The sequence below is a fragment of the Homo sapiens genome, chromosome 16, assembly GCF_000001405.40.
Source record: "Homo sapiens chromosome 16, GRCh38.p14 Primary Assembly".
In the NCBI taxonomy this organism is placed as follows: Eukaryota; Metazoa; Chordata; class Mammalia; order Primates; family Hominidae; genus Homo; species Homo sapiens.
The window spans coordinates 11026165-11051502 of NC_000016.10; the positions used below are offsets into that span (position 1 = coordinate 11026165).

Below are 25338 nucleotides of genomic sequence, written 5' to 3' on the forward strand. Positions count from 1 at the left end.
CAGGGTTATGCTCACCTAATAGAATGAATTGAGAAATATTATCTTCTCCTTGATTTTCTGGAGGAATTTTTGTAGTATTATTTCTTCCATAAATATTCCTTAAACCAGTGAAGCCATCTGAATATGGAGTTGTCTTTGGTGGAAGGTTTTTAACCACTCAATTTCTTCAGTAGGCATAGGGCTTTTTAAGGTTACGTATTTCTTCTTGAGTGAGCTTTGGTAACCTGTGTCTTTTAAGGAATTTGTCATTTCATCTGAACTGTCAAATTTATTGGCATAAACTTTATGTTTTTCCTTTATTATCTTTTTAATGTCTGTAGGATCTGTAGTGATGTTCCCTCTCTGATTGATGGTATTGATAATTTAGGTCTTCATTTTTTTTCCTAATCATTTTGGCTAGAGGATTATTAATTTTATTGCTACCCTCTATTGTTCTGCTGTTTTTGATTTTGTTGATTTCTGTTCTTATGTTTGTTTGGGGTTTTTTTTTTTTTTTTTTGCCTTCTGCTGCTTCCAATTTAATTTACTTTTTGTTTTATAACTTCTTATAAAGAAGCTTTAGGCATTGTGGGAAGCACTTTATTGTCCACAGCCAAGCTGCTTGTGATGAAACTGTAACTTACAAGAAAAGGGCTGGGTTTTAAAAATGACACAGGCTCTAAAAACCCTGGAAGCGGTGCAACTTTTGGCAGGAATGGGGGTTAGCAGGACCTCAATGGCTCACTATGGCTAAGTGAACGCTGACTGGGTCCTCCAGCGTGAGCTAGAACAGACGTCTCTATGGTCAAGTAAACAGCGCGCGTGCTGTCTTTCCCATGTGGTGGGGTTGCGCATGATCAGTAGCTGCACCACTAGAAAGATGGCGGAGGAAGAGCAAAGAAAAATCCCTTTGGTTCCAGAAAATCTCCTGAAAAAGAGGAAGGCTTATCAGGCACTCAAAGCCACCCAGGCAAAGCAGGAACTTTTGGCAAAGAAGGAGCAGAAGAAAGGAAAAGGGCTCAGGTTTAAGCTACTGGAATCATTCCTACATGATTACTGGCAGCAGAAACCTGACAAGGTGCATCTCAGACGACTAGAAGTGAAACCTCATGCCGTGGAATTGCCAGATAAACATTCCTTGGCCTTTGTTGTACGCATCGAAAGGATTGATGGCGTGAGTTTACTGGTGCAGAGAACCATTGCAAGACTTTGCCTAAAGAAAATTTTTAGTGGTGTCTTTGTAAAAGTCACCCCCCAGAATCTACAAATGCTGCGTATAGTGGAAACTTATGTGACCTGGGGATTTCCAAATCTGAAGTCTGTCCGAGAACTCATTTTGAAACGTGGACAAGCCAAGGTCAAGAGTAAGACCATCCCTCTGACAGACAACACAGTGATTGAGGAGCACCTGGGGAAGTTTGGCATCATTTGCTTGGAAGACCTCATTCATGAAATTGCATTCCCAGGGAAGCATTTCCAGGAGATCTCATGGTTCTTGCGCCCTTTCCACCTCTCAGTGGCCCATCATGCTACCAAAAATAGAGTGGGCTTCCTCAAGGAGATGGGCACACTTGGCTATCGGGGTGAACGCATCAATCAGCTCATCCGCCAGCTGAACTAGACCCAGGTGCCAAACTGCAGTATATTTTTGATCAATGAAGTGGAAGCATGTGTTTTGTTGTTTTGGGAATTTTTATCAAGTGTCTTCAGAGAAGATTATTTCCTGCTCTGTCTTCAAAAACTGGAAAGGAAGGGTCAAAGAAAAGACAGTAGCTGGCTGGGCGTTGTGGCTCACGCCCGTAATCCCAACACTTTGGGAGGCTGAGGTGGGCAGATCACTTGAGGTTGGGAGTTCGAGACCAGCCTGACCAACATGGAGAAATGCCATCTCTACTAAAAATAAAAAATTAGCCGGGCATGGTGGCGCATGCCTGTAATCCCAGCTACTCAGGAGGCTGAGGCAGGAGAATCGCTCAAACGTGGGAGGCGGAAGTTGCAGTGAGCTGAGATCACGCCATTGCACTCCAGCCTGGGCAACGAGCGAAACTCTGTCTCAACAAAAAGAAAAGACAGTAGCTTATGTTCATGTCAAGCACCTCTCATCAGAGTCTAGTTCCAAGGAAAAATTCCAGTGTTTTCTACATTGGGTGCTGCGTCGTCTGAAATCGGCACATTCCATGGAGGAAGGAGTCCTGCTTTGTTGCATCTATCCTAGGGTTTAATGTTGGTAAATGAGTCACTCTAGCATTTGTACAAGGCTCCCTAAGACTCCTGCAGCAGTCGACCAAGCCCAAGGACATAATTGAATCTGGAGAGTCCTGGAGCCTTGTTTTGAAAAAGACTTGAAATACACATAGGAAGAAAGGCATAAAAATAAAGGTTCACTTGTCTCTGCTGTGGAAAAAAAAAAAAAAAGAAGCTCTAATTATTGATTTTAATCATCGTAGGAAGCTTTGATCATTGATTTTTTAAGCAAATCAGCTTATTTTTTTAAACTAACGTACCATAAAATTAACTCATTTTTGTATTTAATTCTGTGAATTTTGGGACATGTATGGATAGGTGTGAACACCACTTAATCAGGAGATAGTACAGTTTCATTATCAGAAAAATATCCCTCAGGCTATTCCCTTTCCAGTCATTGATTTTTAAACCTTTCTTCTCTATGACTTTAATGCTATAAATTTCCCTGTAAGCACTGCTTTACCTGCATCCAGTAAATTTTAACATATGAGGTTCATTCAGCTTAAAATTTTACACAGTTTCCCTTTTGATTTCTTGTGTTTTGTCATGTGTATAATTTCTAGCTGTGTTTCTCTTATTGATTTTTCTCCTGCTTTTGGATTCCTTCCCCCATTTTTTGCATGCCTGGTCATTTTTGATTGGTTGACAGTTACTGTGGTTTTTCACAGTTGGATGCTGGATTCTTCCTGTAAATATTTTTGGGCTGATGGTTCAGTTAATTGGAGTTGGTTTGATCCTTTTTTGAGGCTTGCTTTTAAGCTCTGTGAGAGCTGGTCCAGACAGCCTTCAGTTTAGGGCTAACTTCGCCCTATTACTGAGACATTACCCTTCTGAGACTCTACTGTGTCCCATGGTGAGGTGGTCTCTCCACACTGGCCCCCCCAGTGTGAGCTCCAGGAATTGTTCCACAGGCTTCATTCTGGCAGGTCTTTCCCTTTCTTCATGTGCATGCACAGACCAGAACACAGCAAGGTTCTAAAGGAACCCTCTGCACATGTCTGAGCTCTCTCTCTGCAGCTCTCTCTTCATTTATCTTGTCCATGAATTTTAACCCCTTGATCTCCCTGAACTCCAGACTCTGCCTTCTCTGAGAGAACCACAGTCTTTGGGTTTTCTATCCCTTTGCTGAGGCCCGGATACTCTCACTGGACAGCAAGCTGGAGCAATCACTGGGCCACTGCCTTTGTGCTTCTCCCTCTCAGGGATCTCTCTCTTATGCTGCCTGTTCATCCAGAGTCTGATAACCATTGTTTTGTATATATTGTCTTGCTTTCTAAGTTGCCTGAATTAGTAGGATAAATTCAGTCCATCTTGGCCAGAAGCATAGCACCTTTAAAGAAAAAGTTGGATTGAAGTCTAATTGATATGCAATAAACTGAACATATTTAAGGTGCACAATTTAATATTTTGACATATGTAAATACCCGTGAAATCATCACCATGATCAAGGCAGTGTATAATCCAGCATCCCAAACATTTCCTCATTCCCCTCCCTTGCTTCCCACACCCCTCTCCCCAAGTAACACCAGTCTGCTTCCTGTCATGCTAGATTAGTTTTGCACTTTCTAAAATTTTGTATAAACAGAGTCATGCAACATGTACTCCTCTTCATGTGGCTTCTTTCAATCCACTTAATTATTTTGAGATCCATCATGATGTTGTGTGTATCTGTAGTTCATTTCTTCTTGCTGAGTAACATTCCATTATATGAACATACCACAGTTTATTCATTCATCTGTTAATGGAAATTTGGGTTGTTTCCAGTTTTGGACTATTACAAACAAAGCTGCTGTGAGCATTTGTGTGGCCCCATACAATGTATGCCCATACAGAGAGTTGTATGAGCATATACATTCTTTTCTCTTGGATAAATACCTAGGAATGGAATGGCTGAATCATATTTCCCATATAATTATGGGAGATATGTGTATGTTTGCTTTTATTTTAAGATACTGCCAAACTGTTTTCCAAGATGCCTATATAATTTTATATCCCATCACCAGTGTACAAGAGTTCTAGTTCCTTTACCTCCTTTCCAACATTTGGTGTGGCCACCTTTTTAGTTTTCACCATTCTAATAGGTTTGCAGTGGTATCTTATGATCTTAATTTGCATATCCCTAATGACATTGAACATCTTTTCATGTGTTTCTTTTGCCATACATGTCTTTGTTAGTGAAGAGTCTTTTCGAATCCTTAGCCCGTTTTTTAAATTGAATTGAGTAAAAAAAATATTGTGTTTCGAGACTTTTGGGTTTTTTTGTTTTGTTTCTTTTAAGACGGAGTCTCACTCTGTTGCCCAGGCCAGAATGCAATGGTGCAATCTTGGCTCGCTGCAACCTCCGCCTCCCAGGTTCAAGCAATTCTCCTGCCTCAGCCTCCAGAGTAGCTGGGACTACAGGTGTGCGCCACCACGCCCGGCTGATTTTTGTATTTTTAGTAGTGACAGGGTTTCGCCCTGTTGGCCAGGCTGGTCTCGAACTCCTGACCTCAAGTGATACACCCGCCTCAGCCTCGAGAGTTCTTTATGTATTTTGAATGCAAGTCCTTTATCAGAGGCATTTAGCAATGATTTCCCCCAAGTCTGTGGCATGTCTTTTCATTTTCATAACAACATCTTGGGAAGACCAGATGTTTTTTAATCTCCATGAGGTTCCTGTGGCACTTTTTAATACCGCCTTTTCTCTGTATTTTTTCTCTCCCATTCTGGACTGCTAGGCCTTGGAAGGCAGAAACCATGTGCTCCCTGCAGTACCCAGCCTACCGCCTGGCACTCAGTCAGTGCTCAGCCAGAGTTTGCTGATTGGTTGCTGCTCAGCTATGTGGCACGTCCCCAAGGCCATCTCTTCCTGGCAGCTTGTAGCTCAGGGCTTCAGCAAAGAAGGTGCTGTCTGTGTGGTGTAGATGCCAGGCTCCATGGGACAGTGGGCAAGCTCCTCATCTTGGTGACTGGTGTTCTCCATGGGCTTCCTTCCTGCAGCCCTGACCTGTACGGGGAGCAGAGACGTCATGGCTTACTGGGTGTGCTGCCATGCACCTTCATCCATCTTATGCGCTGGAGAGACCACTCACCTGTGTTCCCGCCTGGGCATCCTACCTCTTTTTCTTGGGAATTTCTTCTTGGAAGAGTAGAACTGTATATTCAAGGAAATTGAATTCCTTCTCCCATTTTCTGCTAATGCTATGCATGTATTGATTCATTCATTCTTCCAACAAATATTTTGGAAGCCCCTGTTAGATGCCAGGCACTGGGATCAGTATTGGGGATGCAGTGGTGAAGCAAACAAATGCTTTCATGGAATCTGGATTCTCTTAGAGGAGACAGACAGTAAACTAGTAACCAAGTAAAATAATCCCATGTAGCGAGAAGTGCAACAGTGAAAATAAAACTAGGTAATGCGGTGGGGCAGGCTGAGGGTAGAGGGTACTACATCCGCCTGAGCAATCAGGAGAGGCCTCTTGGAGGCTTAAGTGATCAGGAGGAATAGCTTGCAGTTTCTGATGAATTTCCTCATGTAATTAGTTATTCAGCAAATGCATGTGGAGCACCGGCCGTGTGCCAGGCAGTGTGCTCAACATGGGGACTACAAACTCCAGGCAGACCAACCCAGGCCCTTGCCCAAGAAAGCATCAGTCATTCTTGGACAGAAAAGTCCTACGAGGAGGCTGTCAGCACAATAGAGGGTCACTTGCCTGGTGGTGAGCATGGACTCTGCCCGCAGGAGTGAGGACCCGTTTCCTGAGGACACCCGGGCTATGGTAGAGGACAGAGCAAGAAGGGGCATGAGAGCCTGTGGCATATCCATCAGATCACTGCCCGTTCCCTAGGGTGAGTGGCAGCATGTCCGAGGCAGCGGGTGCCCCAAGAGGCAGGCATCTGGAGCCAGTCTGCAGGGGGTGGCACAGGCAGCGACTGAACTGTGTTCCTATGAGCCGTGTGGGGCTGCTGGGGGGCAGTTGGTCAGTTAGTGAGCTGACCCACTCTGCACCTCTCAGAATGGGTTTGCAGTAATTCAGCCAGCGGGTGGGAGGGATGAGAGGTGAAACTGAGAGGCTTTCTTATCATTCAGCAGATACTTGCTGAGCGCTTGCCAGGGCAAGGCCCCGTCATAGGCACTCAAACAAGCCCAGATGAGTCTCACTGAAGTGAACAAGAAGATTAATTGTGACTGTGACAAATGGTAGAAGGAAATGAACAGGGTGGAGTGATGAGGAAGCCTAGTGGTTGTGCTGCAGGGGTTACTAGGTGCTAGTCAGGGTGGTCGGGGAGGGCTCCTCTGAGGAAGGACCAGCAGAGCCACAGCCCAGAGAGTGAGAAGGAGCCAGCTCTGCAAAGACCTGGGGCAAGAGTCCTCCAGGTGAAGGGAGCAGCATGTACAGAGGCCCCGGGGTGGGAAGGAGCAGAAAGTGGGCCAAGGTGAGGCTGGCCAGGCGGGCAGGGGCCAGGTCATGAAGGGCCTTGAAGGCCCTGAAGAGGAATTGCCATTTTTTCTCCAAGTGCAATGGGAAACCCCTACCGAATTTTTAAGTAGGACAGTGATGTGGTCAGATGGAAGTTTTTAAAAGAAACGTTGGCTACCAGACAGAAAGTAGATGACTGGGGGTGGGGATGAGTTGCAGGAGGGAACACCGAGAGACTTGCTAAGAAGCTGTTGCAGTCATCCAGGCGAGATAATGTGGATTGGATTAGGCTGCTGGCTGGGGAGTAGAGGAAACTGGAAGGACTTGTGATTATTTCAGCGCTAGAGCCAGGACGTGCTGATGGATTGAATGTAGGGGTCGAGTGAAAGGGACGAGTCAGATGACTCCTGTGATTTGGCTTGAGCAATGGTGGGGGTGCATTTACTAGGATGAGGAGACAAGGAGAGTCACTAGGCTAGGGGTGAGGGGTTCTGGTTGATTTGAAAGGAGGGGGCATGAAGGGAGGAGCCTGGGTAAGGCTCAGGTTCCTGACTCCTTTCCCTGTGTGACCAATAGTGCCATTTCCAGAACTAACAAGCATGGGCCTTGGAGTAGGTTTGGAGAAGAAACGGAAAAGTTCAAGTCCGGTGCCCTGAGGCCCAGGTGCCTGGGGAAGCTGCCTCGTGGGGGAGCTGCCACCTGGTTTATGCTCAGTCCTGGCCTGTGAGCACAGAGTCTGCATTTGGTGGGGCTTTGCTGGTGGAGGTTGGTTGAGTGATTGGTTTTTGGTTATGCAGCAGCTGATCAGGCTGCACTTGACCTTCAGCCTCACTTTTCCAGATCCTTACCCCCCAAATCAGGTCCCAAGTGACCTGGTCTCTTTCTCATAGATTTTTTCCTCATAGTCAATTTTAACATAAAAGCCACGTTCATAAAAACCAAATGTGAGCTCAGGCCTTCCAGTAATCATAATAGATTAGATGCTGCACCGAAATGAATATCCCACAGTGGAAAGGGTTGACCGGTTGGCGGAAGGCGCTTGTTGTGATTCAGTTGGGCCACATAATGAATTCTGGTTTGTTTCTGTAATAGAAAATGCAGCCTTCGCTCTTCTATCAAGTCCGCTGAGTCCTGGGCCAGAGGTGGAGGGATGGGGGTGAGTTTTACAGCTTTTGTATCTTGAAGGTTCCCCAGTTCAGTGACCAACCTTCTACTCCTGCCACTCCATTTGTCATTGTTTACCCAGGAAGAAGGAGTCTTGGGCTCTTTGTGTTTTGTGTTTTGTTTTGCTGAGAAGTTAATGGAACATGGATGAGCGATATGGAAAAGGTTGAAAGGTAATAGGCTAAAGGGAAGCTTTTGCCATGCGGAGAACTTGCACAACGTCAGTTTGGATCTTGGCTGACACATAACCAGAATTAGAAGTACATTGGAAATCGGCCCAACATCTGGTTAGCTTTCGAAATCTTTGGTCTATAGTCTTCCAAAGCTGGTAATACTTGTGTGACTGCAGCCAAGGAGACTTTGTGTGGTCAACAGACGTTTTTAAAAAGTTTGAACTGTTTACCTGGTGTTCTCGTGGTGTCTTTATCCAGATCTGTCTAATTATTCTTATGCATCTTTGGTCTGGGTCTTTTACCTCTCTACCCTAAATGGGGGCTACTACTAAGGGGGAAGAATCCAGATATCAGAACTGAGAGGGAAGCTTAGTAAGAGTTACTGACACTGTGGGGCCACACCCTTCCCTTCTGTTTTGGATTCTTTGAATGAGTTAGTTGAGAGTTCCGCCCTCCACCCCTGTCCACGGGTGGACAGGGGACACCCGTTCTGAGTCGGTGGGCAGCTCAGGCTCTGACCCCTAAGGCAGGGCTGTGGGCGGGGCAGGGAACATGTGGTCTGCTGGAAGCCAGAATGAGCTAGTGCTCCCGTGAAGTGCAGCAGGGTTTCTTTGGAATTTGTCTGTCACAAAGCACTTAAGAGTTGAAGCAAATAGGATAATATATTATCCACAGTGTTTATTTCTGTCAGAGGGAAATGACTGGCAAAGAAGCTATTGGGTTTGCAGCAAAACCTGCCTTTCTGTGACCAAAAACCACGGGGTATGCATGCGTGTGTGAATGAGTGTCTGTGTGTGTATGAGTGTGTGTGTGTGTTTGTGTGTATGTCCTTGCACACAGGAGCCGTCTTACCTTTCACATGCATGCCCCTGTTACAGGGTGACATTGACCTTAGCCACTCAGAACCATCAGCCACCAGGTTGTTTCAGGCAGGAGGCTTAAACCTAAATCTAATGTTCGCCACAAATTAAATGCCATCCTAAGTACAGTGATGGTCATGCAATGATTGTTATAGAAAACAAAAATGAGAATAAGTTGCTTTTTCACTTGCCTTTGATAGTACCACCTTAAAATAACCAACTGCTGACAGTGTCGTATTTCTTTCTAGCATGTTTTCTGTGTGGGTGATGGTTGGGCTTTTTTGCACAGCTGTCATATGGTGGCTTCTATTTTACGTATGTTTCCCCTTCATTTTGAGATTTGTCTAATCTTCTGCCCGAAATTTGATCAAAACTACTTAACTTTTTAAAAAATTAATTCAGCAAAAATGTATGGACTGTTGTGTTTGTGCCAAGAACACCACTAGATCACATGACATACATAGCTTGGGAAGGTGGAGGGAAAGAGCGTTAACCAGCGGGGATCATGGTACACGGCAGAGAGGAGGGAGGTAAGAGCCACATGGCTGCATTCAGGGCTGGGCTTTCCACTCTCCACATGACCCCAGGCAAGCTCATGTCTTTTTTGAGCCTCAGCTTCCTCGTCTATAAAATGGAAATACTATTAGCCACTTCATGGAATGTCATGAGGATGAAATGAAGCATTCTACGTCATATGCCTGGCTGATGGTCACCATTTCTTCAGAGCTTACCATGCGAAGGCAATCTTGTCATCTTAGCAGAATCCTCTCCTCCTTCCTTCCAAAGACACTCTGTCCTTCCCCAGAGAGACTGGTGATTTTGTTGTTGTTTGTTTGTTTTGACTGAGTATTTTGGTAAATGATAAGGCCTCCTTCAAAACACTGGATAGTTGGAGTCAAAGAGAGGATTTTAAAGGCCATGGTGGGAAAAAGAGCTGGGAGAGAGAATGGGGCCCCTGGCCCAGAAGGAGCTTTGGGGAAAGAAGGGAGATGTTCAGAGGGGTTTCTGTTATATAGTTTTGCCGTGTGCTGTGTGGAATCACCTCTGCTCTCTGCCTCCCAGGGCTGGTGGTAAAATCTACCTCACATGGACTGCATGGCACTAGCAGGTCAGTTTGGGGTAAAGGGCCGGAAGCATGGAGACCACTTGGAACAGTCAGGGGAATGGAACCACCCCAGTCAGCCAGGGCACAACCAGATTATGTTACGGCCCGCTAGCTGCCTCTCCTGGGCCCCTCCACTGCATCACCCTCCAGGATCCTGGCACGAAGCCTTGCCTGTCCCTTCCCCCATCCTCCACCTCATCACCCCCTCCCCGGCTCTCTCCCACCCAGACCTCTCTGGGTCTGCTCCACTCCCTGCAGTCCCACCTTGGTTTGGCAAGTCCTGGCCCTCCCTGTCCAGTTCAAGGCAAACTCCTGTTCATCCTTTAGGATCCAACCTGAGCAGCTCGCCCCCTGAGAGGGGCCCCCAGCAGCTCAGCATGCCTCTTTTGGGCTGTCTGTAGCTTGATTTAGCTCTTGTTAGGTTTTATCCTTGTGTTCTTTTGTTCTAATTTTCCTTTTTTTTTTTTTTTTTTTTTTGAGACAAGAGTCTCGCTCTGTCACCCAGGCTGGACTGCAGTGGCGCAGTCTCAGCCCACTGCAACCTCCGCCTCCTGGGTTCAAGCAATTCTCATTTCTGAGCCTCTCAAGTAGCTGGTACTACAGGCATGTGCACTACACCCAGCTAATTTTTGTATTTTTAGTAGAGACGGGGTTTCACCACATTGGCCAGGCTGATCTCAAACTCCTGACCTCAGGCGATCTGCCCACCTTGGCCTCCCAAAGTGCTGGTATTAAAAACATGAGCCACCGTGCCCGGCCTAACTTTCCTTTTATAACACGAATGATAAGGAAACACATGAAGTCATGCTCAAACTAAAAATTCTCATCCATGCATTAAGCAGTGCTCAAACTAAAAATTCCCATTTGTGCATAATAATGAGAGATAAAGTTGTTGGCCTGTGACAGTGCTTTTTCTCTTTCGATCCTGACAGCAGTCGTGGGGCGGGTAGTTACCATAATTATTCCCACTTCACAGGTGAGGAAACTGAGGTTCAAAGAGGTAAAGTATCAAAACAAAGTTCCTCCCGCACCCCACCGCTAGGCTTCTCATTCCTGCTGTACCCAGCTGTCCCCCTAAGAGAGGGTGAGCCCAGGGACACAGAGGGGTGGCTTTTGTCAGCCCAAGAGGACGGGCCCCCTGTGTGCTCCTGGTGGGCTGGCTGTGTGGGTGCTGCCACCCTTTCCCATTTGGACCCCACCCACCTTCGGGATCACCTGAAAGTGGTTTGAGCTGTGTCTCTGACTTGCTCTGTGACCTTGGGGAAACAACATAACAACTCTGGGCCTTAACTTCCTCATGAAAGGAAAAGGCTGGACTTGGAACCTGGTACAGAGAGAAGTGTTTCTATCCTCTGGGACCTTCCCTTCACGGAGAGTTGAGAAAAGTCGAGATCATCTTGGGACGCTTTTCTTCCTGTCAAGAAAAGAGCTTGCCCCAGATTTCCTCACTGTCCACAAATTCTAAGGAGACGGAGGGGCAATGATAGGAAAGAAACAAAATGGACCTCTCTCTGGAAATTCAAGGCCTGGTCCTAGTTTGCCTCTTTCCATGGTTCTGTGGCCACTGCCCCATTCTAGAAGGAGCGAGCAGCCAGGCCCTTTCTGCTATCCTCTCTGAAGCGGAGTGACTGCTGATGGGTTATAAAGTTGGGCAATGCACCTGGGACACAGAGGAGCTTTTATTCCCCACCCCCACCCCCACCCCCACCCCCAGAACCACTGACTGGCAGTTCTCAAAGGGCCAGAAATTAACGAGTAGAGAGATGTTAGGACAGTGTTAACATCTCTGGAAAAAACAAATGCCAGAAAGATTCAGTTGACATTCTTCTTGCCATTCAATAAGCCAGAATCCTTCAGAGTTACACATTTAGCATTAACATGGGATACAGAAGCCACAAATTAAATTTTCACTGCAATGAAATTTTTTGAGGAAACCCACATTTGTGGGGCGTTTTGGGGCATGAGAGAGACTACTACCCTACTCAAGTCTTTAGGCCGTCCCTCACCCAGGTCATCTCCTTGGTATGACTTAGCCTCTTTCTGGGAGCTGGAAGGAATTCAGAAAAGCAAGATATATTGTTACTTCTTATTACATCAATGTGCATGTGCAGGAGTTACTTAGAATCCAGACAATCATCTCTTCAATGCTATCTTCCACTATTTTGTCAAGGTTCTAAATGAAGCGTCATCTGGTACTCAAGGGACCGTATTTTAAGAGTTCCGAGAAGTGCCACCTTTCCCCCTTTTGTAGAGTAACAGGAAAAGACGTGGTACAAGCGCAAATAATCCATTCAGTTCTCCAAGCTTGGATCAAGCAAAATATTTGTTTCTGTAAGTGTATTTTTGAAGAGCCACGTCAGTTGAGCAGATAAGGAGTTTGAAGACCTCTTACTCCAGGCAGGAACTGTTCTAGTAGCCCTAACAGGTCTTCTGTCACTGCAGGTCCTGTGTGCTTCTTTAGGAGAAATGACAACAGGGCTCAAAGTCACACACTTGCCTGTTCTTCTTTCCTTTCCCACTTACCTTCCCCACCCCCATCTAATATTTTATCTTTCAAATGCTGTTAGTTTTGGCAGGAAGAATTGTTGAATTTTCACTGGAGGAAAAATGATTCCCTTGCCTCTTAATGATAGATCTCTGCTGTATTGGTGTCATTGTATTAGGTTGGCACAAAAGTAATTGCGGTGTTCCAATTGCTTTTAATGGCAAAAACTGCAATTACTTTTGTGCCAACCTAATATGTGCACCTTTCTGTAAGAAAGGCTTAGCTTAGTGTCTTTCTGCTAATGTCACCCTCAGGGGCAGGCGTGGCCTCTGCCTCACCTGGCTCACAACTTGATTCCTCCTACATGTGTTGAGGGTGGGGCTCAGCTTTTGAGTTTGTCATTAAAAGCTTGAGGGCACAATTGTTGGGGATGACTGTATTTCCTTCGTGTCTAGTCTCTCTTTCTCTAGGCCTGGATTTCCTCAAGCGTAGAAGGTGCGTAATACGGGAGTGGCCTCAGGTGGCCCTCAGACCTGGCACACAGTGGCAGTGAGTTGTGCTATGGGATGGTGTCCCCTTTTTCTACTCCCTTCCCTGTGTCTAGGAGAATGCCACCATTTGGGGCTAGCTTCTCTCCAACACTATTAAGTACCTGCCAACCTCCCTTTTTAACAAAGATCAGGTCTTGGGCCACCATGAGTAGGCAGTCAAAAGTCATTGGCTAGCATGCAAAAACATTTTTTGATTTTTAAAATATTATTACTGGCAATTATTGCATCAATCCTGATTTCCTATTTATAAGAAATAGAAAATGTATGTTTTAATACATTTATGTAAGTTCAGTTTATGGAGAGCTCTGCGATAAGTTATGGCACCAACAGCAACCAGTCATGACAGCAGTTGCCAAGAGGGGACAGGCGCAGTGGCTCACAACAGTAATCCCAGCAATTTGGGAGGCCCAGCACTTGGGGAAGCCCAGGAGTTCAAGTCCAGCCTGGGAAACATGACAAAATCCTGTCTCTATTAAAAACTAAAAAAAAGAAAAGAAAAAGGAAAAGAAATCACCAAGAGGGAACATATGTGGCTGAAGTTGAGGAAACCCCACTCTACAGGACCTTTCGGTATGAGGAGGTCAGGTAGTCAGGAGGCCTCCACTTACATCCTTCTCCTCTGTTCCAGGCATGGATCCTGAAAAATTAGAGCGAATCCAGCTCCCCGTGCCAAATGCGGCCGAGAAGACCACCTACAACCACCCGCTAGCTGAAAGACTCATCAGGATCATGAACAACGCTGCCCAGCCAGGTGCCCACTTGGGGTGTTGTCTGTCCACAGGGCCACGCAGTTGTAGGAAGCAGACCCCACTGGGAGCCTGAGCCCTGGGTGCTAGGCCTGAGCCTTCTGAGAATCCGGGCCCATCCCAACCTCTCCCTCTGCCTCTCAACCCCTGCATCCTGGGCCAGCCCTCCTGCCTGCTGGGACTGTGTCTTAGCTCTGGGTCTCCTTTTGCCATCCCATCCCCTGCCACTTGGTAACCATCTTTCTTCTTCCACACCCCGCCCTTCTTTTGCTGAGATTGTCAATGTTTTCGCCCCCACCCCGCTATGTCTGGGTGGCCCAAGGTAATATTATGAGAAAGAACTAGGCTGACAGTGGAGTGAGGGGAGAACATTCGAAGGTTTAACGGGCCAGTAGACGTAGGAGACAGAGTTTTGTTACCAGCAACAGTTGTGGGTAGGTATGGAAACAGGTAGGAGTGAGAATGCGCTTGGAGAAAAACTCACTTGGACTGGGCAGCTGAAGAGAGGTTACGCTAGTGCTGGGGCTGAGTGGGGTGGGGCCAGGAGAGCCGATGGAGCCGAGACCACCCAGTCCTTGGTCATCCCTGGGGCTTGTATTATGTTTGGGAAGACCTATTTTTTGTGATAGCGCTTTTTCTTTTCTTTTTTTTTTTTTTTTGAGATGGAGTCTCGCACTGTCACCTGGGCTGGAGTGTAATGGAGTGATCTCTGCTCACGGCAACCTCCGCCTCCCAGGTTCATGCGATTCTCCTGCCTCAGCCTTCTGAGTAGCTGGGATTACAGGTGCACACTACCACACCCAGCTATTTTTTTGTATTTTTAGTTGAGACAGGGTTTCACTATGTTGGCCAGACTGGTCTCGAACTCCTGACCTCATGATCCACCCACCTCGGCCTCCCAAAGTGCTGGGATTACAAGGTTGGGCCACTGCGCCTGGCCTGCTGTTTCATTTTTTAGGCAGATCCCCTTTTCTCACTTATTTTCACCTGACTTACAATGCATTAACAAAGGGACTGGCAGGGAGGTGGGCAGAGGGGTGTATCTGCCTTTAGTTTTTTCCCAGTGACCTATCGTGGTCTCTGATGTTTCCAAGGCCTTAGAGGCATAGCCTGAAGGCCTCCTCCTCTCCACAGTGGGACCTTTCACCAGAAATAAACTTGAAAGACCCACAGAGGAGTTTGCATAAGAGCAGTTGTCCTTCAGTCAGTCAGTTACAGATGCTTCTAGGAGAGATGCCAGATGCGGGTTTTGGCTTTCTGAGCACCTGCAGTCTACCACTACCCAGCTATGAGACCTAGGACAAGTCACTTCACTTTTCTAAGCCTCAATCTTTCCAGCACTCATTGCAATAGGTTTTTATAGAGATTCCTTCAGGACCTATATAAAGTGTTCGGCACTGTGCCTCGTTCACAGTGGTAAGTAAGTAATAGCATAGTAAGTAAGCTGTGTTAGAGCTCTCTTGGTCTTGACAGAAACCCGACTCACTCTGGCTTAAACAATACAAGCAGACAAAGCTGTGTTAGCTTATAAAGACTGCTGAGGCCTAGCTTCAGGCAAAGCTGGATCCAGGGGCTCAAACAGTATTTTTCTACCTTTGGCCTCTGCCACCTTCTGGGTTGACGAGATAAATGCCAGCCCCTCCAGCTAGCCCTTTCTGCACTGAGACTCTAGACTTACTCTACGGGAGACACTTAGATTTGAACAGTCTAGTTGGAAGAGAGATCTCGAAGTGATATTTGTAGAATACTTTACTAAGATTAAAAATGCTGGCAAGGGTGAGGAGGTGGCCGATATAGATTATAATGCTTGTGCCCCTCAGGGCGTCACCACGGTCCTCTGCTCAGCCCGGCACAAGGAGAATTTCTCTTAACCCAGCAGTTCCAGCAGATTGTGAGGTTGAGCCTTACTGGCTCTGACTGGCTCCCTTGCCTGGTTCTTACCTAGTCACTGGGACCAAGGGAATATGGAGCACCCCAACTGGCCAGGTGATGTGCCCAACCCTGGAACGGGGAAGGAGGATCAGCTCCACCCAAATCACATGACCCAGAGTGGGACTGGCGGCTCTCTAAAGGAAGTGGGGGTGCAGGGCCACTTTCCAGGCCTCAACAGTGTTTAGTCACCCTCTTTTTCCTGCACCCTGTCAGTAAAGGGACTTCAGGGAAGTATTTGGTATAGGTAGTTTTGATGGAGAACATTGAATTCTAACTGATGGGGAATGGTTTGGGCATGGGGGGTTCCCACTGTGTCCCCACTGGATGTTGGGAGCCATGAGCAGTTGGTCTATCATGTGACCTGCTAGCCTCAACGTGGATAGGCAGCAGTCTTGGGTTTAAGGGCGCCCCACCCTGGGTGTGCAAGGCTTACCCTGGTGTGCTCTGCAGATGGGAAGATCCGGCTGGCGACGCTGGAGCTGAGCTGCCTGCTTCTGAAGCAGCAAGTCCTGATGAGTGCTGGCTGCATCATGAAGGACGTGCACCTGGCCTGCCTGGAGGTAACGCCCTCTCCGCTCCTCCTTCCTGTGGGCCAAGGGAGAGGGACAGGAGGACAGGAGGGAAGCTGCTGGCATCCAGATAGGAGCCCTGGCCCGTGGTGTCATCGGTCACCAGCTAGAAGCAGCAGGGGCTGCTCTCTTGAGACCCCACTCCAACCTACTTATTCAGCAGGGACTTCCTTTCAGCCGAGACTCGCTGAAGAGTCCACTTAATTGAGTTTTAGTAGTTTCTGTTGCAATTATTTGATTCTGTATTTGTCCTCAGGATTTCTGAATTTTTTCTTTGGTATTACAAAAGTTTTTTTGCACATACAAACACATCAACACACATACACACATTGATTATGGTTTTTGTGTTTAAAATATATGTTAAATTTTCAGTGGCTTTTATGGTACCTCTTATTTTCTATGTTTATTTTAGAAAATTTAGGAAGTAGAAAGGTAAAAGTAACAACTATAGTTGACATTTTGTCTGTGTCTGTGCACACACACACACATATTATATATGTAAATAATATATTTAAGTATTATAAGCAAATAATTATATATATAAAGAAGTATATTTACATATACAATATGTAAATATTATACACTACGTATATTTACATATGTAATATGTAAATATGTACATGTGAATATATGTAAATGAAACATCTATTTACATATGTAAATGAAAATTCATTTATAAGTGTGTATATATGTTTGTGTATATATATACACACACACACACACATGCTTACAAATGAATTTTTTGTCTTATACAAATGTAGTTGGGCCAAGTGCAGTGGCTCATGCATGTAATTCCAACATTTTGGAAAGCTGAGGTGAGAGGATCACTTGAGGCCAAGAAGTTGAGACTAGTCTGGACAACATAGTGAGACCCTATCTCTAAAAAAACAAAAAAGATTAGCCAGGACATGCCTGTAACCCCAGCTACTCAGAAGGCTGAGGCTGGAAGATTGCCTGAACCCAGGAGTTTGAGACTGCAGTGAGCTATGATTGTACCACCGCACTCCAGCCTGGGCCACAGATTGAGACTGTCTTGGAAAAGTAAAATAAAAAAGGAGTCATGATGGCCATATTTTATAACCCATTTTCCCCCAATTAACTGTATATTAACAGCTTCTCATGCCATTACAATCGAATTACCTATCCTTTCCCCATTTTCATTTTGAGCTCTGTCTCCTTTCCTCTCTCTCTCATTAAGAACTATTTTATAGGCCAGGCATGGTGGCTCGTGCCTGTAATCCCAGCACTTTGGGAGGCCGAGGCGGGCAGATCACCTGAGGTCAGGAGTTCGAGACCAGCCTGGCCAACATGGTGAAGCCCCATCTCTACTAAAAATACAAAAATTAGCCAGGCATGGTGATGGGTGCCTGTAATACCAGCTACTCGGGAGGTTGAGACAGGAGAATCACTTGAACCTGGGAGGCGGAGGTTGCACTGAGCCAAGATCACACCACTGCACTCCATGCACTCCAGCCTGGGTGACAGAACAAGACTCCATCTCAAGAAAAGGGAAAAAAAAAAAACACCATTTTATACATTAAGGATATTAGTCCAGATCTGTTTTATACACACTCATGTTTTAGAATTCGTAGTTTGCCCGACTTGCTCACCTATATGAGACCTGCCTCCTTCACACCTTCCTTCTCTTTTAACAGGGTGCGAGAGAAGAAAGTGTTCACCTTGTACGACATTTTTATAAGGTAATTGGCAGAGCACAGATGGACAGCAGCATGGTGTGTATTGTAGAAACAGAAGTGTGGTGTCTGGTTCTATGCAGATAAACGTTATATGTCTTCAGTTATTTTTTATGCCTATAATTACTGAATAAAAATGCTCAATTTCATAGTCCCTAGAGTAGCAATATCTAAACTTTTCTGTCCAAGCTGTCTTATCAGTAAAATTTTTGAGGACTCAGCCCCAGTATATGATAATTTGTTTCTCAGTAATACATGGATTTGGTTATTTGGGAATAATTATATGTAAATTATGAACTACGTACGTATAAACACATATAAATAAATTATATATGATGCACTTATGTTCATAAGTTATATATGCTTACACATATAAAATTACTTATGAATTACATATGAATTTATGAACCATATACATGTATATTATTTATATTGATATGTGCTAAGAAACCTTATACAGACTTCTAAACCTCTATTAACGTTTATTGAGATTTTGTAAAGTGCCACCATGACTTTCAGTATCTGAAAAATTTGCAGAGCTTTGTCTTCAGGTTCCAGATGGTTTTATAAATATCTAATTGCCGCCAGGCATGGTGGCTCATGCCTGTAATCCCAGCACTTTGGGAGGCCGAGGCAGGTGGATCACCTGAGGTCGGGAGTTTAAGACCAGCCTGACCAACATGGAGAAACCCCGTCTCTACTAAAAATACAAAATTAGGCATGGTGGCGCATGCGTGTAATTGCAGCTACTCGGGAGGCTGAGGCAAGAGAATCACTTGAACTCAGGAGGCAGAGATTGCGGCGAGCCAAGATAGCGCCATTGCCCTCCATCCTAGGCAACAAGAGCGAAAACTCCATCTCAAAAAAAAAAAAAAAAAACTAATTGCCGTGGTTTTGTTTTAGCTTTTAAGGCATATGTTTTAGTCCATTTGGGATGCTAAAACAAAACACCATAAACTGGGTAGCTTATAAACAATAGACATTTACTTCTGGGCCGGGCATGGTGGCTCATGCCTATAATCAATCCCAGCACTTTGGGAGGCTGCGGCGGTCAGATCACAAGGGTCAGGAGACCAAGACCATTCTGGCTAACATGGTGAAACCCTGTCTTTACTAAGAAATACAAAAAAAATTAGCCTGGCATGGTGGCAGGCGCCTGTAGTCCCAGCTCCTCGGGAGGCTGAGGTGGGAGGATGGCATGAACTGGGGAGGCAAAGCTTGCAGTGAGCTGAGATCGCGCCACTGCACTCCAGCCTGGGTGATAGGTGAGACTCCATCTCAAAAAAAGAAGAAAAAGAAATTTACTTCTGTCAGTTTTGGAGGCTGGGAAGTCTAAGATCAAGGCAGATTTGATATCTTGTGAAGGCTCACTTTCTCATAGATGGCACCATCTTACTGGATGACCTCATTACCTCCCAAAGGCCCTACCTACTAATCCCATCACCTTGGGAATTAGGATTTCAACATATGAATTTGGGTGGTGGGGGGTGGTGGGGAGCAGAAACACTCAGGCCTTGCCAGCCTCATGTGTCTTTCAGGGAAGGCTCATCACTCGTCAGCCATGGTGGATTAATCCATAGGTCAAGTAGTCATTTTCTAGTTTGCTGGCCTCCGGATCAGGTCTCTGCAGATCCTGCGAGTGATGGTTTCCCCTCTTAACGTGGCTGATGAAGATCCTCCTACATGGGGAAGGTGGCAACACTGCCATTTCCTTGTCCCCTGTACTTTCATTATTCAAGCCCTCTTTAAGCTGCTGTTTCTTTGCAGGAATCGTTTTAAGCGACTGCATTATTGTCAGTGTTTGTTGAGATAAAATGAGGTTATATGATTTGGAGATCGACCTTGCCAGGCTCAGATGACCCCATCCAGCTGCAGCAGTGGACATACCCAGACAAGGGTGGCACCGTGGTGGGCCCCTACACACTGAGGAGGAAATCCCACTTTCCCCTTAGAACATCCCAAACCGCACTTGGCCTCCAAGTGAGGATACACCCTCACTAGCAAAGCCCACGAGAAAGCAGAAACCTCAGGGTTGCATTAGTCATCTTTGAACCTCTTTCCAGTATAACTGCCCTAAGTTTATGTCCTCTAGAAAGCTTTTGGATTGCAAAAACAGAAAGACATATAGGTAGGCATTTTCCCAGAGGGTTATTCTTTATTATTAACAAAAGGAGAGCTTTATTTAAATTCTGGATCCCTTCTCCCAACCCAGATTTTTCTTACTTTTATCCCATAACATTTATTATACCCTAAGTATAATTTCTCAGCAGCTTTTAGATGTTTTCAGGAATTGTCTTTCCTGGTGGTGGTAGTTATGTCACACAAGAATATTCAAATTTAGTTGTAGTTCTGACAACTGAAAAAACCTAAAAAGGATCTATTCCCTTTCCCACCCCAAGTGTGGGGTGTGTGTGTGTGTGTGTCTCATTCAGAACTTGTGAGAGAGATGCAGCAGTTCTAAGGGTCATTGTCCAGTAGAGATTACCATGACAGTGAGTGCTCACACTGACCCAACCCTGAACGAGTGACAGGTTCTGTGCCTCCTCGCATTTCATGTGCATTAACTCATTTCATCTTCACAATACCCTAGACAGACATGCCATTCATGCAGTGGAACAAGGAGGCGAGAGGTGTAAAGCTGGATTTGGTTATGTGTATCAGAACCAAGACTATGCCCACCGTGCTGTTCTGAAGGGGCCCTCCCAGGCAGTCATGACCCTGAGGAACAACATAACCCCGAAAGCACTCCTCATAAACAAATAGAACAAGCCATGTAATTGTAATGTTAAACTTATTTAATTATACTCTTCCTTCCAGAGGTGTGGAGCCTTGTATCTTTAATGTGGTAACTTAAACAGGATTGTCCATTTCTCCAGCCGTTCTCGACAAAATAGATAATGTTAAACACTTGAAATATTAGCCTTTTCTATATTTTAATCCTACATAGTAGTTTTTTTTTTAATTAACTGCTTTGACAGAAGAATTCTAACTCCATATACTTAAAAAGGAAGGAGAAAATTTTGAATAGTGCAATTTGATATTTGGTCTGTCATTTGAGCGTGTGTGTTTGTGTTCACGTGTGCATTTTACTTCCTGGTGATTTACGAGAACTCACTAATGAGAAACAGATGGCCTCTAAAGCCACAAACTAGAGTTTATAATACTCTGTTGTTTATGGAAAAAAATATGAATAATCTCCTCTTCCCTCCCTTCCTTTCTTTTTAGGGAGAAGACATTTTTTTGGACATGTTTGAAGATGAGTATAGGAGCATGACAGTAAGTGAGGGGCTGGGACACACTTGGGCTGGTGTGCGCCTGTGTCCCTGCCAAGCTCCCCCTGCCCATCCCAGAGGGAGTTTTTTGACTTAGGGCTTTGTGACCAAATAGCACAGATTGATGGGGAAGCAGATTTAGAATGGTGTCTTGTGATCCCCACCACTGTTAAAATTTCAGACTATATTCTCTCCCTCTAACATGGGAGGTGTCCGATGAATCAGGATGATTCTCTGCTATGAATAGTAATTTTGGGGACAGTATCATTTTATTGAGGACTTACTCTGTGCTGGATGTATATAGCATGCTGTACAGATTATATCTCTTCATCCTCACACCAACCAACGGTAATAGCTACTGCCATTGTCCCTTTCTTGCTGAATTAGTCTCTTCTCATACTGCTACGCAGAAATACCCAAGACTGGGTAATTTATAAAGAAAAGAGGTTTAATTGACTCACAGTTCCACATTGCCGGAGAGGCCTCAGGAAACTTACGATCATGGTGGAAGGCACCTCTTCACAGGGTGACAGGAGAGAGAATTAGTGCAAGGAGAAAAGATGCCAGATGCTTAGAAAACCATCAGATTTCATGAGAACTTACTCACTATCATGAGAACAGTATAAGGGAAACTGCTCCCATGATTCAGTTACCGGCACATGGTTCTGCCCTTGACACGTGGGGATTCTCATGTGTCTCACCATTCAAGGTGCGATTTGGGTGAGGACACAGAGCCAAACCATATCACTTGCTAATGAGGAAACTGAGTCAGAGAGGTCTAGTGATGTACCCAAGTCTGCCCGGCCGGTGAGTGGCAGAGCCACGCTTCTAGAGGAGGACAGCCCAGCCCCGCATCCCCCGTGCTTCTCCATGTATTATGTCCCTGCCTCCCTGTTTGCTGCTCCACTGGAATGTTTCAGCATGCAGCTCTCCCTCCAGTCTGTAGTGCCAGCACATGGGCTTCCTTCCTCCTCCCGCAGGCAGAATCGCGGGAAGCCATAGGTTCAGAAGATCCCAGCTTTCTCTGCTTTGCGCGTTTGTCTCTGTTATCCCAGCACCTGCCCTTGGCTAGGTACTCCATAAGTACGTGATAAGTGATCCTTCTTGTGGATATTACCCACCAAAGCATGTGTGATTTGGGAAGTTTATAATAAACCTAAGTGTTTTAAGTGTCAAAAAGAAAAAGGCAGCGTGCACTAATTGGCTCCTTGGCTTCGCAGCCCATTCCCTAGGAATCGGGACAGCTGGGCCCTCACCACGTCCTTTGTCACTGCATGTCTGAGGCTGCCGTGGAGCCTTTTCAGGGGAAAGGTGTAAATTGGCATAAGTCATCTCCAGAAACACCCCAGCAGCACCCTGTGCCAGGCCCCCGTGGGCTGCTCATCTACAGCCCCTCATCATTCCTCCAGCCCCTTCGAGAGAGGCTCAGTCTTCCACCCTTCAGACCATTCATTAGAGTGGAAGGGATTCAGTTGTCATTTGTTATTTCCTCTTACCCCCGAGACATCCCCCTGCAATGTCATTTCCTACAGTTTGGTTTCCTGTTTGGAAATGTCAGGCTTCTATGGCACTTGACCATGTGGGAAAGCTTGAGCTCTTAAACCCCTGCTCAGTGTCTGCTTTTGACAATGCAACCTTGAGTGCATTGCTGAAATTCTGAGCCTTGATTTTTTTCTTTTTTTTTTTCGAACAGAGTTTTGCTCTGTCGCCCAGGCTGGAGTGCAAGTAGTGCGTTCTCGGCTCACTGCAACCTCTGCCTCTTGGGTTCAAGCAATTCTCCTGCCTCAGCCTCCCGAGTAGCTGGGATTACAGGCGCCCACTACTACGCCCAGCTAATTTTTGTATTTTTAGTAGAGACGGGGTTTCACCATGCTGGCCAGGCTGGTCTCAAACCCCTGACCTCGTGATCCGCCCGCCTTGGCCTCCCAAAGTGGTGGAATTACAGGCGTGAGCCACCGCACCTGGCAATTTTTTTTTTTAAATCCGTAAGGTGGGGGATCCCTACCTCATAGCCACCCAGGCTGTATATGAAATAGCCAACAAGAGGCCTCATGGGTCCATACACAACAACAAATACTCATGGGTCTATACACAACAAATACTTCCTCCCCCTCCCACCATGGGGAGCTTCCCAGGTTTTTTTGTTTGTTTGTTTGTTTGTTTGTTTTAATCAAACATGTATTGTGTGTCCTATACAATGCCTGGCATTCCAGAGAAATACAAAGGTGCCACGCCCTTGCTCTGTATCTGAAAATCAGTCCTCAGCCTTCAGGAATGCAGCTTCTGAGTGGAAGGGGGTGGGGACAGGCCCTCCAAGGCCAGCTGCTGTACCAAAGTCAGACCATGACTTGTGACCTTTCCTTCATTTCCCTTATTGCCTCTGGTTTAATGCAAAAGGTTCAGTGAGGTGATGGCCTAGCTCTGCCCCCAGCAGGCCTGAGGGGTTCACTGGGAAGGTTGTAGGGGGCAGCAGGAGTAGAGGGGAAGGGAGCTGCAAGTGAATGAGTGAGGCAGGAACTGCCACCCCTGCGGGGTTAGAGGATTTGGAGTGGGGGACCTCAGGCTTCTGGAGGAAAGTACTTAAAGTGTCCAAAAGAAGAAGGCAAGCAGCATGCACCAAGTGGCTCCTTGGCCCTCTGGCCCATTCACCGGGTGTCTCAGTATGTTTTCTGCAGCTATAACAGAATACCACAGACTTAATTTATAAAAAAAAGAAATTTCTTACAGTTCTAGAGGCTGGGAAGTCCAATATCAGGTGCCAGCATTTGGCGACGGCCTTCTTGCCACATCATCCCATGGTAGAATGCGAAAGGGCAAGACAGAGCAAGAGGGAACAGAACTCACTCTTATAACAAAGTCACTCTCACCATCATTGAGCCACACCTGCAATAACAACATTACTCCATTCATGAGACCCAATCCCGTCTTGTTAGGCCCTACCTCTCAGCACTGTCACACTGGGGATTAAGTTTCCAACACATGAACTATGGGGGACACGTTCAAACCATAGCACCAGGTATCTGGGCCACTGAGCCCTCGCTACATCCCTGCCCTATGTAGTCAGCTTTACCTAGCAGGAGGGGGAAAGTGGTATGTTTGAAGCCCACTTTCTGAAAAGAGAAGACACAAGGAAAGCTTGTGATGTTTGAAAGAGTAAAATGAATTCTGCAGAAAGCTTACCCTTCGTCTGTGAAGCCAGGGAAATGAAATGTTAGTGTTCAACAACACGTGTGCATTGATTACTACTACTGATGCAGCAGAGATCTGGGAGAGGTGGCAGGGAGGGGATGTCACCCTGTGTCTTAGTCCTCAAAGAAGGCTTCGCAGAGGTGGTGTGGAAAGAGGCCGTCAGCTCTGGCCCAGTGGCCGTGGGCATGCGCCTTTCCTCCTCTGAGCTCAGTGTCCCTTTTATGATGGGCCCACCAGCACCTGCCGTCCAGCAGGAGGTGATCCCAGCACGTGCCTGGCACTTAGTAGATGCTCCAATAATGATTGTGTTATATTATCCCAGGTAAGATGTGAAGGGGACAAGGAAGGAAGGGGAAACATTGGTCCTAGGGTGGGAATCACAGAGGCCCTGGAGCAAGACAGGCCTGGGCTCATGTCTTGGCTCTGCCACCCACCAGCTGAGCGACCTTGGATCCATTTTTCTGCTTCTCTGAGACTGTGTTCCCTCATCAGCAAAGTGGGAAGCAGCTCCTCAAAAGCCCTTAGGTCACAGCTTGCAGCGGAATCAGCTCTCGTTAAACGGAAGCTGCCATCGCCATAGCTGTTATCATCACTGGAAGGACAGAGAGGAGGAAGCAGGTGGCAGACGGGCTTGCACCCACAGGGATAAAGCATACCTGGCCTCCTGCTGAGAATCCCTGTCCCTGCTGAGGTGGAGAGAGAATGCGAAGAGGAGCAAGCTTTTCACAGCAAGGATGCAACTTCTCAAGAGTCTGAGCTGCTGCTTCAATTAAAGGAAAAATCTGCAATTTAGAAAACCAAAAGGCATATTGCTCCCTTATCTGGCTGCCTCTGTGCTTTACTTCAATCTAAATCCAGGATTTAGATCACTCATTTACATTTACTAAATGCGGTTGAAGGCGAGGGGCCTGTGCAACCTCCCCCGGCCCCTTCCTCCTTCCAAGTAAGGAATCTGCTTTGAGGTTTCCTGTAATG

At 46.1% G+C, this 25338-nt stretch overlaps 1 protein-coding gene and 1 pseudogene across 40 annotated transcripts in view, besides 2 other annotated features; both read left to right on the forward strand.

Annotated features, from left to right (window-relative positions):
* Positions 1-25338, forward strand: part of CLEC16A (C-type lectin domain containing 16A) — a 237623-nt gene that overhangs the window by 81601 nt on the left and 130684 nt on the right. For 39 of the 40 annotated variants that reach the window (NM_015226.3, XM_005255214.3, XM_011522434.3 and 36 more), the window contains 4 exons: positions 13590-13712; positions 16090-16199; positions 17864-17908; positions 21128-21178. In NM_015226.3, the coding sequence (NP_056041.1) occupies positions 13590-13712; positions 16090-16199; positions 17864-17908; positions 21128-21178 (329 nt within the window). Of the gene's footprint in view, positions 1-9860; positions 9929-13589; positions 13713-16089; positions 16200-17863; positions 17909-21127; positions 21179-25338 lie in introns of those variants that run through there. The other variant, XM_017023090.3, reaches the window with a different exon arrangement.
* Positions 797-2397, forward strand: RPL7P46 (ribosomal protein L7 pseudogene 46; annotated as a pseudogene).
* Positions 24168-24744: an enhancer, noted in NCBI's record as "H3K27ac-H3K4me1 hESC enhancer chr16:11144189-11144765 (GRCh37/hg19 assembly coordinates)". NCBI's record gives its function as "activates a minimal SCP1, AML or CMV promoter by ChIP-STARR-seq in primed H9 embryonic stem cells {active_cell/tissue: H9 hESC(primed)}" and the evidence as "EXISTENCE:reporter gene assay evidence [ECO:0000049][PMID:30033119]".
* Positions 24745-25322: an enhancer, noted in NCBI's record as "H3K4me1 hESC enhancer chr16:11144766-11145343 (GRCh37/hg19 assembly coordinates)". NCBI's record gives its function as "activates a minimal SCP1, AML or CMV promoter by ChIP-STARR-seq in primed H9 embryonic stem cells {active_cell/tissue: H9 hESC(primed)}" and the evidence as "EXISTENCE:reporter gene assay evidence [ECO:0000049][PMID:30033119]".